The 19,285-nt window shown below is 37.8% G+C and overlaps 1 long non-coding RNA gene across 2 annotated transcripts in view; it reads right to left on the bottom strand.

Moving 5' to 3' along the window:
* Positions 1-19,285, bottom strand: part of LINC01818 (long intergenic non-protein coding RNA 1818) — a 186,703-nt gene that overhangs the window by 121,925 nt on the left and 45,493 nt on the right. The window lies entirely within an intron of this gene.

The raw sequence follows: 19,285 nt of genomic DNA, 5'->3' as shown, positions 1-19,285 counted from the left end.
CACTATAAACCAGCCCTTATTTAACTGTGTTTTATGTTTTCTCCAGGAAAATACAAATTTCCATTTCTACCCCTAGCACTGTACTACACCAAAGACTGCAAAAAGCAAATGAGGCCACAAAGAAATGGAAAAAGAAAAATAATGTTAAGATATTTTTGCAGATATCCAGAGAGAATGTTTTCCTGTTGCTAATATGGAGGCAATGCTTGTCTTCCACATCTAAGTTGAAGAGGCTGGCTGTCCATGTGATTTGAGGTCACATAAGAACTGTCCATAAATGTCCATCCTTCACTTTCACACTTTCTTAGTCCCACAAGGTTTTACCTCCAGAATATCGTTGTTAAAATTCAACCTAGGAGGATTCACAGACTAATGCCTCCACTTCCATTAGTATGGATCATTTCTGTAATTTTCCAACTTTTCTTTTTTTCAAAACAGATCACTTTCTCAAAAGAAAGTATAAGGCAGAACCCTAATACAAGTTGAGTATCCCTAATACAAAAATGTGAAATTTAAAATGCTCCACAATCTGAAACCTTTTGAGCACTGACATCATGCTCGAAAAAATTGCATATTGGAGCATTTTAGATTTGGGGTTTTGGATTAGGGTTGCTTAACCAGTAAGAATAATGCAAATATTCCAAAATAAAAAAACTTTTGAAACATTACTGATCCCAACATTTTGGATAAGGTATACTCAATCTGTATTACAAAATAAAAAGGAACGGAGATGATCTCTGTTTGAAAAGACCAGATTGGAGAGTTCCCAGTTACGCTGAAAAAATACTTCCCAGATGTGACTGTGAGACCCATCCATGAGACATTACCACTCTATGAAACATACTTTTAAAAGCACTGAAATAACATTTGGCTTGGGAAAAGATAACTGAACCCTGTGAGAATCCAAACTAAGTGACCATCTTGTGGCTGGGCAAAAAGGCAGGTAGACAGGAAGGAAGGATGAGCAGTGGAAGGTGATGCCAATGCGGACAGTTCTTAGTGGGAGCCACAGTAAGGCCACTGGAGTTGACATTCAACCATTAATGCAGGTATTAACAGTGGATTTTCACTAGTGTCATGGGAATCCTTAAGCATTTCCAACTCCTAGTCTCATGCCTAAGTTTTGGATGCCAACAATCTCTAACCCACATGTGATCATCTTCCCAGGGTTTTATGTGGTCTTTTCTGATGTGCTATGCTTGGAGAAATTGAGAAAGCAACACAGAGAAGCTGCACACCAGGGAGGCATATTATAAAGTAGTTTAAATGGGAGTTTATCCTAGCCTCAGGCCATGCCTCACTAACAGAGAAGCAGGAAAAAATCAAGAGAGGTATGGTATTTTTAGGATGTACCCAGACAACTTTATGTCTGAGATAAAAATAAAATCTCAGAGAACTCTAATAACCCTCAGCAACTCTCAGCAGAGCATTAAGCTCTAAAGACCAAAATCTTTATTTGATAAGTAAAGGATATCAGTAAATATTAAAATTACTAGGTGTGTTAAATAAAAACTGTGAACAAACAAGTTTTTTTTGTCTTCGAAAGTGGCTTGGCTTTTCTTGTTGGGAGCTCATAAAAGCTTCCTTGTGATCACCCCCTTTTAGGTAAGAATTATTCTTCATGGTTAAAAAACAAAAAATGTGTTTTAACTGGGGTGATGTAGGCTAAAATTGCTCCAAGCAATTTTGTATAATGGAATTTCATAGTAAAAAATTAACTACAAACCACTGACTGGGTCCATTGTCTTTCTCAATGCTACAATTTTGCTGCTGGAAAAGGGGGTTTGCTATTCAAGGATGCAAAAGTGTGATTCAAGAATCAAGCCTTTTCATCTCTCGTGGGATATTGTCCTTTATCAGAGCATTCTTGGTGGATAAACATGTAAATTATTATGCAAAGCAGGATGGAGTAATTCAAATTGACAATTGCCCTATTAAAAAAAAATTAAAATGTGGAAGCCTTGAACATGTGTCTGCTGACAATAAAGGAGGTTCGTGTTAAAATCAATATTGTTTGGTGTCATTTTCGTATATATTTCAAGCAGATAAATTCGCTTTCTTTACTTTCTATTATAAAATTGCTTTTTTTCTACCTGTGTATTTAACAGAGACAATTTCAATAGGAAACATTAAATTGTAGTTCTATGTATATATATATACACACATATAACTACATATATAAATATGTATGTTTATATAGTATATATAAATTATAGTTATATATAACTACAATTTAATATAAATTTAATGAATAATTTAATAAAAATAAATTTAATAAATAATAAATTATATATAACTATATATATATATCACAGAGAATAGATTATTGCCTTTATCATTCTCTTAACAACTATAAAGCTGCTATACTGCACCTTCAATGAAGATCATTCATCTATAGCTAGCAATTACTTCCAAAGACTTAATTGATGGCCATATTTAAAAGAGAACACCATTACAATTTGTTATTGAGCTACCACCAATTCTACCAGTTTACCTGCACCTACACCCATCGAGTCTGCCTTTCTTTCCTACTGGGACAGCAGATGAGTTGGCCTTGTTCTTATCTATGACAAATCCTCCGCTTGTGCCCTGCTTCCTTTGCCCTCATAACTGCTCTGTGGCTTTCATCCAGCAGAATTTCCTTTTCTCTTTGGTATCGTTACTTTCTCCCTATTTACCTTTTTATCATTCCCACCACCATGAGTGCAATATCACTGATCTTAAAATAAACAGTAAATGGTGTTGACTCCAAATCCTTTTATTGCCACATTTCTCTACTTCCCTCCATAGCAAGACCCTTGAGAGAGGTTCTGCATGTATTTGCTGTTTTCAGTTATTTACCTCCTATTTTCTCCTTAACCAATTCATATCAAGCTTACATTCCCATTTCATCCAGTGATATGGCTCAATGTGTTAAGATTTCCAGTGACACACATCTTTGCAAAGATAGTGGTTAATTTTTTTTTTGTCTTCCTTTTACCTGATTTCCTAGTGGCTCTTGATTCTTTTCTTCTAGATAAGTTCTTCTCTAGGCTTAGAGGAAGCTTTTGCTTCCTTCAATTCAGGGTCTTTTCCAACTGTTGAAACATTGATGTCCTTTAGGTATCTCTCCGGCCATCTCCTCTGACTACATTCACTCTCCAAGTGATTTATCTAGTCTCTTGACTTTGAAAATGAATTCCATCATGGTAACTTTTAAATGTTATTTTCTAAATCTAGCTTCCTTGCTGTACTCTGTACTCATTTAATTGCTTTTTTCACATCTCTGGTTGGAGGTCTAGTAGTCACTACAAACTTAACATGGCCAAAAAATAACTGTTGATCCCCTTGCCAAACACACACACATATACAAGCCCCAGAATCTTCTTCTTACCAAGTTTTCAACATTTATATAAACAGTAATGTTATCCATCTAGCTGTTAGGGTCAAAATTCCAATTTTATTTGTCACTTTCCAATTCACATCCAATGCATCAGTATAAGTTGTTCTGCCTGCAGTACTGGTTTTGAATTTGAACTCTACAAGAGTCAAATATCTCATCTCTAGACTGGCCTTCTCTAATTGTCTCCCCCACCACAGTTTTTCCATCTCACTATAGTTGAGTAATTAATTTTTTTTTTTTTTTTGCCTGTGATCTACCCACATCGTACATGATCTGGCACTTGTTACCTCTCAAAGCCATCTCCCTGTACCCTTCCCCCTGTTTGTTACTCTCAGACACACTAGTTGGAATATTGACTTCCCAGCATATGACTGCTCCTTCTCCATATTCAAAATGCAGCTTAAATGATACCTTCTCAAGAGAAGCTTTCCCAGGCCAGTGTAGCTAAACAAGAACTATAAACCTTCCCTTCTACAGCCATTTTTTTCCCTTTCTTATTAACTTATTTGTAGCACTTAATATTACTACAGGGTACTCTTTTAAATGTTTTTGTTTTATTTTATTTTTTCATTGGCTGTCTCATACACGAAACAAGATTCTTGGGAGCAGAGACTTTGTTTTGTTTCCTGAAATCTTAACTAGTGCCCAGCATACAGTATGTACTCAGTAAATATTTGGTAATGTATTGCTTGACTTAATCATCATTCACACAGGGATTTTACCTCTGCTGTTCTATCTTTTGTACCTGAATAAAGTTCATGAGGCTTCACTAAACCAAAGAAAGGTAATTAGCCTTTGTTTTGTTTTTATTTTTTTAGTGTTGCTCAAGACAGAGCTAGACAGAAATGGTTTTAAATTAGAGCAATCTTTAGGAACAAATATTAAAATGTTCTAACATATTAAGTAAGATTTTTAGATGATATAACTACCTACATAATAAATGAACGTGAACTAAATATATGAATAAGTAAAATGAAACAACTCATACTATTAACAGATTTAACAGATGTTGAATCCAGTAGTTGCCAACTCAATTTAACAATGTGCACAATTGACTGGTAGTTGACAACATTCTCCTATCGGGCACATTGCCTTTGCCCTTTCCACTCTCACTCTTTTCAAAGCATATGCATTGTGCAAAATGTTTTTTATTTGTATTTTGTCACTTACGGGTACTGATGTCAGGCAATATAGCCTATAGCTATAAGATCCACTATTATTGCTCAAGATAAATTACAAAAACACATTTGATACTCGGAGAGGATTCATATGAAAATACCTACAACCTATCAAAGATGACTGTAGGAAAATAGTGGCAGTAAACAGAAAGAGTCATGCTTTGCTTAAACTTGTTCAGTCCCTTATGAAACATAAACATAAAATTATCTGTGGTTGTTTTATAGGGATGGAGAATATATATTTTCTTTCTTTCTTTTTTTCTTTTAAAAACTAGACAGCTTCTCCTATGGAACTGTTGAACTGAAGACAGACTTTTCAAGGTGTTTATTGTTTCCAGGAGAATCAAAGAATTTTAGAAGGTGAAGGATGGATTTCCAATGTTTCTTGAACCAGTTTTCAGAGATAAAATTGGAGCAATTTATCCCCATTATGTTGAGACACGTCTCTTGTAGGTTTTTCTTTCAGTGTTTATCTTTTCCTTCTGTCAATACTGCTGACTAATCCTGCAATTTTCTAAGAATCAGTTTTTAATTGCAAGCAAGAGACAGAAAACAGAAACACTCACAGGAAATGTGGGTGAGGACTCTATCTTATAAAGATTTTGCAGAATAAACTCATATGGTTCTCTTATGTGAGTGCCACAGCAAAGCCCACACAGATTGCAGAGCCAAGCTAGGATGTGTTATGCCTGATGATTTGAACAAATCCTCACAATCCTGAAATGGTGGTTATTTTATATTTCTTCTTCTCTTTTATATGGATAAACTAAGTCAAATCGGGTGTGGGAACAAGCAACTAAGCTGCCAGAGCTAATTCCCCCGCACATTTACACCACCCACTTTTAAAATAAAAATGCCAACCTGTTAATCAGTTTACTGTTAAGCCCTTTGCTTTAGTAACAAAATATATGCCAAGCCCATGTTAAGTGGACTAGAGGTCTTCTAATGCTATGCAGGACATAAAGTAGGCAGGCAACAGTCTGCTCTGAGGCAGAATTCAATTTGGAGGATGAGAGGGTGATGGAGAAGAGTACACATTTAAATAAGAAGAATGGATATTATAAAGCATTTTAGAGTTTTGAAAGCATTTTTATATGTGTTATCTCATGAAAACATTAAGAACTCTACAAGATACTACCCAATTAAGAGCTAAACTCTTTACATGGCAGAGAAGTAGAGAATAAACTAAGGTTGAAAATAAATGGGAATGAAGTAGTTGGGGCTATGGTACTGAAACATCTGGGCAAGAGCCTCTGATTATGCATTCAAATCTCAGGGAAGGGTACAGATTTTCCAAGGCTCATTCAGCATAGTATTTAGTTGCTGCATGATGCTAACCAGGGCTGCCAATAGTGAAAAGTGACTTAGAAACACAGACCCTGAAGGTGAAGAAATATTGGGATCAAGGTTAATTGTAATAGTAAAGATTAAAGTGGCATGCAATTGTGTGGAGAAATCTATGTTAGATTTGTTACTAGAAATACTCTGTTTATATTCATGTTGAAATGTATGTTTTTTCCAAGAAATGCTGCCACCAAATATTTAGCATGTTTTAAAATCAAGGGCATGTTAGGATTGAGGAAATATGGAATATTTGTTTAATTCAAGTTAATTTTAATTTAATACAACCTCCTGCTTTTTCTGTTCTGCACACCGAAGCATCCACCAGGCATTGAAATGATATGTATGTGTGGTATTTTTATGTACTGTTTATTGCTCTTGAAAAGTGGTGCCCATATATTCTAGAGCTGAATGTTGGCAGCAGTACGGCTCTTTTGGTAGAGTAGCCATACCTCCCCTGGTTACCTGACAGGTGTATCTGAACTTAGGGCCAACCTCAAGAGTCAGAATTATGCTCCAATTTGATTTTCCTTTCCTTTTCCTTTACTTGTTCTTCAAAGGCAACCTGTTTATATCACAGCAAGTCCTCACTCAGTGTTGTCCATAGCTTCTACGAAACTGACTGTAAGCAAAACAACTTAGAACAAAACCAATTCGACCACAGGCAAATTGATATAAACAAGAGTTGAGCTTCTATGGCATATTTCTGATCACGAAAACATCACCACACTTCATAAAGACCCCAAACACTTCTCAGATTAACCACTGAAATAAATGTGGGCTATACAAATATTTAAGGACTAAGAACAATTAATAAAAGCAAGAATGATAATTATTGACCTGCTTATTCTAGTTTAGGATCACAGGTAGCCAGAACCTATCTCAGCAGTTTAGGGCTCCAAGCGGGAACCAGCCCCGGACAGGACACTATCCCATTGCAGGGCACATTGACACTCACGCCCACACTCAATCAGTCTGCTTTCATGGAGACATGCCAATTCACTTACGGTGCACATCTGTGGGATACGGGGGAGACTGGACTACCTGGAGAAAGCCCACGCAGACATATGGAGAATGTGCAAACTCCACAGGGAGTGGTCGCAGCTGGCAATGGATTTCTTTTCTCATCAATGTTATAAGGAAATGATGTTGAATGAAATGCCATTATTCCAGGACAGAATAATATATTTGAAAAGAGCTGATATTTATCATGAAATGTCAAAATCTTTTTTATTTTATCATGAAATTCAAATCTTTGCCTCCAAAGCAGATGCAAAATATCTGAAATCAAACCACTTTACATTTTTATTAAAACTTGTACTAATGGAGAGATAGTCTCAATTCAATGTTTACTTTTAAAAGCAGTCTTCTGTTGAAAACAGAAGTTTGGGTCATTCATCCAAGGGCTTGGAAAACAGTTCCAGCTTGAACTGTTTAAATTTAGAGGGAAATGTGTTGAATTTGGATTGGTATGGAAAGAATCCCTAAGCAGGAAGTTGGCATTTTTAAGAAAAGAGGAGAATAAATTAATAATAGGTGTATTCTGTCAGTGGTATACAGTAGCTCTCTCTCTCTTTTGTCATAAGTAAGCTATCAGTGTATTTACTTTTGTCAAAAGACAAAATTATAACAAATTTTGTTTAAGAAGTTAATTTTATTTGTGATTCTGAAATTGGGCAATACCTTATTCCATAAAATCGAATGAATACTCCAATGAGCTGAGCAGAGGAAGTTTTATAGGCAGAAAAGGGCTGAAGGAAGCAGCAACAAGGGACAGGGATTGGTCATTTCAAAGTTACTTTTCTTATGGCATTAAAATAAAGGAATGGGTTGAAATAGAACTTCCTTGTCATACTGTCTCAGGAAAACTAGGACCCATCTGATTAGTTACTGCGAATCTCTTGTTTTTGGGAAGTTGGCCTGTTTCAAAGTTTAGTTTGATTACTTGGCACTTAGCACAAGTGACTAGATTCTGGTTTTGTCTGATCTGTAAGGATGTAGTGCAGGAGGCTACTCCAAAACAATGGCCTCCCATACATTTTAACACATTTATATACCTGTGCTTTTTTTGTTCCATATCTAGTGGCAATTCTAATACTGTATGGCTGAAGTAAGACACATAAGGCACTCTGCACACTCTAAGAAATGTAATTCATCAATTCATTACATGTTGCCTTACCATTTAATTTCCACAACAAAAGTAGCAAGTAGCGTCCTTATTTTACAAGGAGAACACTAAGACTCAGGAACTAAAGTATGCTGCCTGTAATGCTGTGAGCAGTGAGTAGTGGTGTTAGAGGTAGACAGGCATGAGCAGGCAGGAGAGAGTGCTCCCCCTACCCACTAGAAATGTTGGGTGATGGTTTGGCAATTATCGCATTGCCTCTCTAAAAATGATAATTTGGCAGCCAGGGAGGGACTGTCTCCTGATGGTCCACACCTTTTAACATTAAAAGCGTTAATTGAATGCAGGCCCCAGGGAGAAGCAGCTTCTTGGGCATGCATATTAAGAGACAAAATGGCGAAGTCTGATGTTCCGGGAGCACACACCACCAAAAGAATGAAAAAAAGCCTCAGAAGGGCATAGGTTTAATTACCTAAACACACAGCGTGTGCTCACTTCCAAAGGGTAAGGAAAGCACGGTGCATGCAGGAAGCCCACCCTAAGGGAAGAATCATGGGAAAGAGGTGAACCTATAAAATCCAAAGGTCAAGTTTAAAGACCTCCTTTTTTTTTTGCTGTCTTCTCCTCTCTCTTGGACTTTCGGGTACCTGTTCCCAATGAATTTTCCTTTCTTTCCTTTTCTAAAGCCTTTTTAAATAAACTTCCACTCCTCCTCAGAAACTTGCCTCAGTCTCTTTTTCTACCTTACGCCTCTCAGTCAAATTCTTTCTTCTGAGGAGACAAGGACTGAAGTTGCTATGGACCTCAAAGGATACACTGGGGTAACTCAGGGTAACTCAGATCTCTTCCACCAGTAACAGTGGAACTGAGATTTAAGTACAGTTGGATCTCTCTGGCCCAGATTGATTCACACACCTTAGGGAAAAGACTGGAAAGTCTATGGAATCCATTTTGAGAAATGCTGTGTTAGGACATACATGTTGGTTGTATCATAATTAAATGCTTATGTTTGCATTTATCTCCCTAAACTCAGAGGTCCTTGAGGGACAGACATCTGCCTTCTTCATCTGTGTATCTCTATTTCAGTACAGCATTGTTAAATTAACACATGAAAGTGGCTTGAAGAGTCCGAGAGAGCTCCACTGGATTTACTTGGAAAAAGATTCATCACCTTTTTCCAAGCAGATTAAAAACAGCTGAGACATAATAAATAAAGTACAAAAATGATAGACGATACAGTGTTCTAGGGCTGAAAGATGTGGTCTTTCTAGAGACACTATCACTCTTCAAATTCTTCCTTGACCTTTTGAGCTTTGAGTAGATCTTCCTTGGAAGAAGTTAACATGGAGATAAACACCATTGCATACGCATACACCCCCTACTCTCCACTCACTGAAGGGCAGTGCTAGACATATGAATACTACTCAGCAATGTTACTTAAATAGATGGATGACTGAATGAAACAGATGATAGTCCAACCTGTAAGTTGTTAACCACACCACATGGGAGTGGTATCCATCACCTGAGAGCAGAACCTACAGGCCACTTCTCACAGCACATCAACAAACTATCGCGGTCTAGGGTGCTCACTTGAGTGACCTCTGGCTTATTTTGGAGTCCTCAAGGGTGGACCTACTGACGGGTTGGTAAGGCAGCCTTAGCAGATGGCTTTGGTCTGGACTGTGGGGTAAACATGGTGGACTGACATGTCCATACAATTGGCATAATGCCAATGCCAGTGCCAAATCATTGGAAGTTCTTTGGTGAAGAAGACTGGATCCCCAGGAATTTGTGCTTGCTTTCTTGTTTTCAGGTTGGGAGTCCTCAGAGATGTGATATACTCTGGGAGGCAGCTCAGGCCTTTTCTTAAGCAGTTGCCTCCAGCATTAGAATTACTAAAAGAGAATTTTACAATTACAAAAAGTAAATTCTACCATGTGAAAAATTCTATTGTTTGCCTCCAGTGACATTATAGAAATGAAATCTACTCCCCTCCCTTATTAGAGTTCTGCATACACGGGTAGACAAATGTGACAGATATTGTAATTTAAATGCAATTGTTCACTTAGCTAGCCCCCTGGAAACCTGTCTCTTACAACTTGCCTTTGGGTGGAGTCCTTAAGACAGTTCTCTAAAAGAACAAAGCTCAACAAGGTTTGAAAACAGAAAATTACTGTGGTGTCATCAAACCAGCCTCCTCCAAAGTTCTCTCCTGCCCTTGCCTGTTGTCCCAGGCTTAGAATTCTGCGTCAAGAAAGTCTGAAGACTAGGCTTATTTGTGAATAAATGGTGAGGCCTCAGACTCTGTATTCCTAAAAATAAAGAGAATACACACATTTTATCCATTTTTCATTCTTAAATCCCTGTGTTGTATTCAGGAGAACAGATATTTCTTCCTATTAAAGAAGCTGTATTCTTCATTAAGGGTTTTACAGATCCCCTGGGTCGATCTCAATGAAAGGTCTGGCAACAAAAGTCATTGAATAAATATTATTCTTTTGTCTTTATGCGACACCTTGAATTTGATTTGCTTAATACCTTGCCTAAACATAAAACATGGTTATTTTCCCAAACTTCTCCTGGCCTACGGATAGTTGAAGAGGTTATGGCCGAAATGTGGGGAAGCAAATCTCTAAACCAAGGCCTGAAGATCTGAGCTCAGCTGTAGCCTTTGTATTGTGCTTGGGTGAGGCAGGGGCTTGTGGGGCGACAAGTTATTCCTCTTCAAACTTAGAGAAAAGCCCTTCAGTCATTTCCGAAAACTTTCTCACCAAAAACGTTTATAGCTTCTATTAAAGCGTTTATTTACATACAATAATCTGTCTTTTTTGCCTGATAATTTCAGATGCTCTTTTTATTTTTAACAATCCCAACAGGGTTAAATATATTAGGAATCTTTTGTCCTCAATTCAACGTGATTTGGGTTCAAGGAATATTACGTGGGACGTGCGGCCAAATGAAAGATAAAATTGATTCCTGCTTCCCTGTAGGATAGGCTCAGTTTTTCCACTGGAGAATCTTTCAGCAGGTCATACATATCCCTCCCCAGTCCCCACCCATCTCTAGAGACTAGCAAGGCATAGCAGCTATTTCACACATTTTTATCTTTGAAAGCTTGAAATCAGAGCTTAGGGTGTAACGCAAATAAAGACCTAAGCACATATTAAGGAAAGAAATTTGACACTTTAAGAATTTCATCTCCTCCAAGCCAGCTCACTGACAGATTACATACAGAGAGGAACAGGTTAATACTTACATAACTGATTGAAAATTGGTGCTAATTGGCTTGGGGTTTAAATGAGCAAGCTCCATCAGGCAGCTGGGCTAGTTGACAGTTCCTTATATGAAAGTATTACGTGGAAATATAATTTATCTCTATGTAATGATGTTTATTCTCTGAAAATTAGGTTAAAATTGAAGAAATCATTTCCCGCATCCTCAATTAAAACAAATAGCTCACATTTAGCTCAACTTTAGCATTCATGGGCCTTGGGGATACATTTTCCCCATTTTACAAGTAAGCCACTGCCTACATTTTCCTGGGCCGAATGGCCTGGAGGATCAGAGTATTTTAGAAAAGGTTAAAAGAAATTGTACCACATCCAGGAAGGCTAATTTTCATGCATCAAGGTTCTTTGAGCTGAATTTGTGTAATGAGTGCACTGGAAATTGAAAGACGAGATTAAAGTGCTGTTTGTCATGTACAGAGATTTCAGAAATGCTTATCAGCCTTTCGCAGCTGAACATAGCCCAGATTAAAAACCGATCTGACAGAAAGGGAGGCTGACTGCAAATGTGGGGCTTTACATCCACACTAATTACAAAGTGCATATTAAACATGAGGCCGACGATGAGAGCAGCTGCAAAGGTCTTTATCTATATTAAGAGACTGTCCACCTACATAATAAGAATAATTACCAATGAGAGAATTCTTAAAAAGAAATTGCATTTAATGACACATCATACAATTTCTCCTAATTTCAAAAGTCTATTCCACCATCCCCCAATAAGGTGTGAGTTTGTCTTCTCTGTGGAGCCAGGTGACATGTCAGATTTTGAAGAAAAGATCTATTCACATGTATTGTATTAATGTAAGCCCCTTTGGTTTTAAAAGTGCAAGTGTGGAAACCTTATGGAGTTCCCAATCCTTGTCTCTAATGAAATGACAGGAAGCAACTGAAACTTCTTCAAAGGCCACTTTAATTGGAAGGTTGTCAATACCACCAGACCTGGACTCCATCGCCTTTTTCCCCCTTCCTAATAAATGCTAACATTAGAGATTGCATGCCACCGAACTGAAGGGGTACAAGAAATTCTCCTCTTGGAGTTTTTTTTTCCCCTTTGTAAAAAGGAAATGGCCTCTCCTGATCCTTGAGAAGTAAATGCAATGCTACCAATGAAGACATCTAGCATACACTGAGCATTCCACAAGTAGTAGTTTTTCTTTTCCATTCATCTTTCCTTTCTTTCTACCATCTCTTTCTTCCTTCCTTTTCTTCTTCATGTTTTTCAGTTGGTGTAAACCTAAATTTTAAAACTTCTTTTTAGCCTAAGTGTCACTTTTCATTATTTTATTTTCAAAATAAAATCAGTAAACACTTTTGGTTTACTTCTTATTGTTGTTCCTGAAAACCTAGGCACATAATAAATGACTAAAATCTAATAAATGATAATGGTAAGATATTAAAAAGAGCACCTAATAAATTCAGCCTTTCGGGAAAAAGCAACGTGAGAAATCAAGGGCCATACAAATGGCAGCAATATGCTATTGCAGGAAATATTATTTTATCTGTATTACTAATAACATACTCCAATCAAATTCTTCAAGATTTCCGACAGAAATTCCAAACATCTAACAGACATTTAATCTCTGTTACAAGGCTCTAAAAATATTAGGAAATATACATACAGAAAAGTACATAAAAGCACTTGTATCATTTACCAATAGTTCTAAGACAAACACCCAAACCCATCCAGGATAAGAAATGGAATGTGGTGACACCTAAGAGGCCCCGTCTCTCCTGTGTGTGTACTTCCACAGGCTCTTTCCTCTGTCAAGAGCAACTTTCTCATGACTTTTATAACAATTTCTTTGCTTTTATAAGGCTCTTCTGTATAGCTAAATATACCTTTCATCTTGCAATATATACAATTTTTTTCCTATGTTTCCTCTGCAGTTAGTGTGAAAAAAAGTGAGTTTTCAGACTTATTTTCTCCAAGCTTCTTAACTTCAGTTGCTGTCTTAGTCAGTGTCAGTTACTATAACAAAAATGTATACTGGATGATATAAACAACAACGATTGTTTGACACAGTTTGGGGAAGATGGCAAGTCCAAGGCCAAGGTATTGACAGACCTGGCATCTGGCAAAGGTCCTTTTTTTGGTTTGCAGATGGCCATCTTCTCACTGTATTCTCAGATGTTAGAGAGCAGAGAGGGATTTCCATGTCACCTCCTCTTTATAAGGGCATTAATCACAGCACAAGGGTCCCAGCCTCATTGCCTAATCTAACCCTAATTATCTCCCAAAGGCCCCATCTCCAAGTACCATCACATTAGGAGTTAGGATTTCACCATATGAATTTGGAGAGAGGAGGCATAAATATTCAGTGCGTAACAGTCCCTTTAGTTTTTTTCTCTTACTCAGTTTGGGAATCTCAGTGGTTCAAAATCACCAGCATAGACTATCACTATTAAATAGTCTTTTGTTTTTCTTCCCATTTGTTTTATTATATCCTCCCCCAGATGCCAAGAACCTTAGGGACATCGATGGTAGTAGGGATCATTTCCAGACTGAACCTTGCTATATTCATGGATGGCTTTAATTACAGATTAAAATAGTTTAAATAACAACCCAGAAAATGGGCGAGTAAAAACATTAAAGGATATTTCCCACCTACTGATATCTGAGATTCCTATCTCCCATTTTCTTTCTGTGCCGTAATAACTGGTAATCACCAGAGGTACAAGAAGAGACAAGATAACAAGGTGGGTGTTTTATGAGAAAACTTATCACAGGAGTGCTGCTGGGAATCCCTGAAATCTCCAGTCCTTAGAAGAATCTTTACTTCAAAGACAGCTTTATACCATCAAAGTAGAAGAGATAGAGACAGGAGGCAGCCAAGGGTCCCCCTCCCTTGCAAAACCCCCTACTTCAAGCCTAAAACAGCCTGAAGGCTGAAAAACTGGACTGCCCCTTCCAGATGAAGCCTGCCCTTTCCCGACTGATTCTTTCTGAATAGTGCCCACCTGCACACTGGGAGGACGGGGTGGGGCCTCAGGAAGTTCACACCATTTGCAGAGGGGAGGAGCCTGGTCTCTCCTGTTCTTGGGTGGTGACCTGGGGTTCAATCTGTGAGATGGGGGCCTGCTAACTGGAACCCCTCTTGCTTTGCTGAGTTTTTTTCCTTTTCGCTCAATTAATTCCATTCCCCCTCACCCTTCAAAGTGTGTGCAAGCCTAATCTTTCCTGGTTGTGTGACAAGAACACAGTTTTTTCTACAGCAAAAGTGTTTGCAGAAAAATTCACAGTATTATTTATTAAAGAGACACTGTACTTTCTTCCCCAAAGTTAAAGTAATAAAGGCAAGGATAAGCAACAGTATTCTTTTTCCTGAAGTTAAGAAGAGATTGCTGATTTGAGCCAGTGGAGATGGCCCTGCTGCCCGCCACCTCCCCCATCTGCTCCCACTGCTGGGGGCTGTGCACTCTAGACAGTGGATACTAGAGCATCATTTCCTGAAGCCTGGAGGGAAGGCAGAATGGTTGACAAGAGGCCAAACAGGCACCTGCAGAAGATGTGGTGATGCAGGAGTCCAAAGAGGAGTCTTCACCCAAGCACCTGCCCCAGGAGGCCAACCAAGGCCCCCTGCCCTGGTGGAAGTGAATGTTGTCCCACATCCAGGTCCTCTAATGCTCTCCCAGTCATCCCCTAGTACCAGGTTGGGCCCCCTACCCAACTCTAACCCAACACCTCTAGTGATTAAAGCTGCCGGCTCCACCTCCCATGGGGCAGGCTCCTACAGAAGCCAGACATAATCACTGGGACTCAGGCACACTGAGGCCAGGCCCTGATCCTGCCTGCTTCCCCTTCCTGCCAACTTATTATTTAATAGAAATATTGTTCAATAATAAACAAAAATGTTGCGAAGTCCTTTTCAGGAAGTGACCAGATTCAGGTCACTCAGGTCAAGCCTAGTGGCCTGAGTGACCTGAGGTCTAGTCACTACTACATGGCGTTATGACCTTGGGTAAGTTTTCTCATCTATAAAATGGGCAGTTTTGGCTAGATAATCTCTAAGATACCTTTAAATCAAAAAATTATAGCCTATTAGTAGATAGTGGATATTCAGGATCCTAAAATAGAGATCTTGTTTTTCATGAGTTTGATATTGGATTTTTATAGTGAAGGATAGAAAAAATTAATAAAAAGCAATCAAGATTATTTTTTAGAAGAATGGAAACTTTAGGAATAATCAAATCACACTGATCAAACAAAAAACAGCAAGCAAACATATAACACATTCAAACTTATCCCCACTTATATTTTTATTGTATATGGATTATTTAGGAGTTCCCAAATATTTCAGCATTGTAAGTTGATACGGGGTGGAAATAAACATTTTCTTCAGCATCTACTATGTAGGAGGAATTGTGTGCTAAGGTATTTGTCTTCATAGTAAGACTGTAAAGGTAACGGCATTCCCTTTTGGAGATGTGGAAGCTGAAGCTCAGCTAGTTAAAATAAATTATCTAGTGATCTATGGCAGAAGTTCTCAAAGTGCCTCATTCCCCACCCTAATATCACTGGCATCACCTAGACATTTGATAGAATTGTAAGTTCTCAGGCTCCACCCAGACCTACTCAATCACAGACTCTGAGGGTGGGGCCAGAGATGACTTTTTAACCAGACCTCCAGCTAACCTTGGAAACCACCAGTCAAGGGAGTTAAGAAACTAGGAATCAATCTGATATCCTAACTTGAACTCTCCACTACCCACAATTATTACAGAATTCCAATTTGCCCAACTCATTTCTGATTGCTTTTCTTCATACTGCTTTCAAAGGTTATTTTGCAGGTGGGGAATATTGCAATCCCTTTTTTTTTTTTTTTTTCAGATTCATTGGAGGTAGATGAGAGACTTGAAACAGAATCATTTCAAGTTTGGGAGTCAAAAGGAAAAGTGACAATTTTCAAGCAGACACATGACAATAATGTATACAATATTAACATATTATGTCTGTGTGTGAGGAATGAACTGGATGATCTGTGAGTTCTCCCTCATCCTAGGAGTTTACGGATTTGATTTTACCAGTGGCTTATAACTCCTTTATATCTACAAATTTGTATCAGCATGTTTCTTCCAAGATGTAGATTTGGGAATATCATACATTTTTTTTTTACACACAAATCTTCATAGAGCTTTATTTGTAATAGCCAAAACCTGAGAACAATCCAAATGCCCTTCAATGGGTATACAGTTAAACAAACTGTGGTACATCCACACCATGGAATACTACTCAGTAATAAAAAAGAATGAACTAGTGACACACACAACAACTTGGATAGACCTCATGGGAATTATGCTGAGTGAAAAAGCCAACTGGAAAAGTTACATATTATATAACACGTTTATATATCATTCTTGAAACAATAAAAATTATGAAGATGGAAAGCAGGTTAGTGGCTGCCAGGGATTAGAGACTGGGGATGGGGGTAGGGAGGGAGCTACGTGGCTGTCAATAGCATGATGTAGTCTTGTGAACAAACTATCTGTATCTTGACTGTGGTAGTCACATGAATCTACATATGTAATAAAATTACATAGAACTAATTACACACATACATATATAATTGCATGCTTTCAAAACTGGTGAAATCTTAAGTTGATGGATTGTCTCAGTGTCAACTTCTTGATTGTAATGTTATGCTACAGCTAAGCAAGATGTCACTATTGAGGTAAACTGAGTAAAGGGTACACAGAATCTCTGTATTATATCTTACAGTTATATCTTAACTGTTTCTAAATCAATGATTATCTGAAAATTTAAAAAAATGACAAGGAAGTTCAGAAAAAAAGAGTATATTACATCCACTTGAGGAAGTCAAGAAAGGCTTTGGTGAGGAGGCAACATTTGAACTACACTATAGATCTTGATATAATCCAGTCACTCTATGGTTAATAAGGTTTATCATTTTTTTAAATTGAAGTGAAAAGTTAGAATAAACCCTCACAGTGACAGACCACCTTGACAAATATGTTTTGGAATGATCCCAATGAAATTTTTTTTGTAGAATCAGAATTGTTTAAAAAACTAGCACAGAGAATATGTTACAATTTTAAAATCTCACAGATGCAATTAAAGTGAGAGAAGGTTTTACTTATTTTACTTACTTCCCCACCTCCAATCCCACCGCAATGCTTAGCCGTAGGTGATTAACAATATTTACTGGACAAATAAAGTTAGATCCTGGAATTATTTGGCAATTTTCCTTTAGCTTTAAATTTTATGTGTGTTGATGTAAAATTAACCTACATGAGGTTGAAACCATAAGACAGTTTATAATAGCTTTGCCATAGAATTACATTTGTAAACAAGGAAGATTTGACCTCAACGTTATAGTACTTGCCACTTGCCAAGGTCTTAATAAGATGTACTTTTCCTTTCTATTCTGCTTTCAGAATACAAATTCACATGTTTCTTATCCTTTCTCTGTCTTTTTCCTATACGGGAAATTGAGGAGAATACTGATCAAATTCTTCAGTCCTGTGGATAACAGACTAGACAGAAATGTGGTGATGAGGTCCTCAGTTAGTCCTACACATTCATAATAGAGTTTCATCCTCATTGCCCTGAGGTGATGTCAAATTCTCACTGGCTTTACAAGAACTAAAGTTCAGGTAGGTGTAGGCTGTAAGTGTTGACTGTGTTCACACTTTTAGGGATGATGAAATTTGCCATTTTTCTTCCAGAAATGTTTTTCTGAGGCAAAACAGTTTTATCTAGAATTTGGAGCTGTCTGAAATCATTTTTTATTTACTGAAATATGTTACTTGACTCGGAAGTTTCTCTTAGACTAGTACATACTCTAACTCAGCCTTGTTATTGAGTTCATTAACTGCTGTCTTTCTTTCTGTGAAGCTGTCAGTTCTGGAGAATAGGACATTTGGGTTAAGCATGGCGTGGGGGGCTCGTTACATGAGCAATTACTTTACACAAAATGTATAATTTAGTGTTTTTTTTAATTTAGAGGGAGTTTGCAAACTTATAAGGCTGCAAACTATCACAATCTTTATTTCCTGTGTGCAACACAATATGTAATTGTGGTGTTTTTTGTTTTTTTTTTTTTTTTTTGAGATGGAGTCTCACTCTCTCGCCCAGGCTGGAGTGCAGTGGCACGATCTCGGCTCACTGCAAGCTCCGCCTCCCAGGTTCACGCCATTCTCCTGCCTCAGCCTCCCGAGTAGCTGGGACTACAGGAGCCCGCCACCACGCTCAGCTAATTATTTTGTATTTTTAGTAAAGACAGGTTTCACCATGTTAGCCAGGAAGGTCTCTATCTCCTGGCCTCGTGATCCACCTGTCTCGGCCTCCCAAAGTGCTGGGATTACAGGCGTGAGCCACCGCGCCCGGCCAATATTTTTATTATTCAATATCTCTTGGGATTTTTTGTATTATACATACGTGAAATTTATTTAGAGGATTCAATAAGATATTCATTATAGAAAATCACAAAAGAACTATTATTTAATCAGCCAATGTGGTTAAAGATTATAATGCAAACTGCACCTAAACATTTAGCATTGGCTGATTGGCATACTGGACAAACAAACATTGGTTCAAATCCCAGTTAGTTCGAACACTTACCAACTGTTAAGTTATTTAGCCTTTGAGCACCACTTTTCACTCCCATGAAATGGAGATGTAAATAAAGCCTATGCATGCATAGCATTTGTGAGACAATTAAATTAGACAGTCCATGTAATATACTAGCCCAGTGCTTCACACATGGTTAGGATTCAATAGATGGTAGTCATTATTCTTACTAGTTTATATATAGTGTGACATAAGGAAGCACTAGAATACTAAAATATTCAAACCTAAATATATGACTAAAAGGCAGCCCAGTGAACTCCCAGTGTAAATTAAAAATAATCCCAGAATATTAGAATGGTGCTTGAGCTAGCAAGGAAGTCTCTACTGCTCATCTTAGGGTTGTGTGGTTCCTGTCTACCAAGAACTTACCTGAAACTAAGA

Source organism: Homo sapiens, chromosome 2 (genome assembly GCF_000001405.40).
Source record: "Homo sapiens chromosome 2, GRCh38.p14 Primary Assembly".
Lineage (NCBI taxonomy): Eukaryota > Metazoa > Chordata > Mammalia > Primates > Hominidae > Homo > Homo sapiens.
The sequence above is the reverse complement of the archived record's forward strand: the minus strand, read 5'-3'. Positions and strand labels throughout refer to the sequence as shown.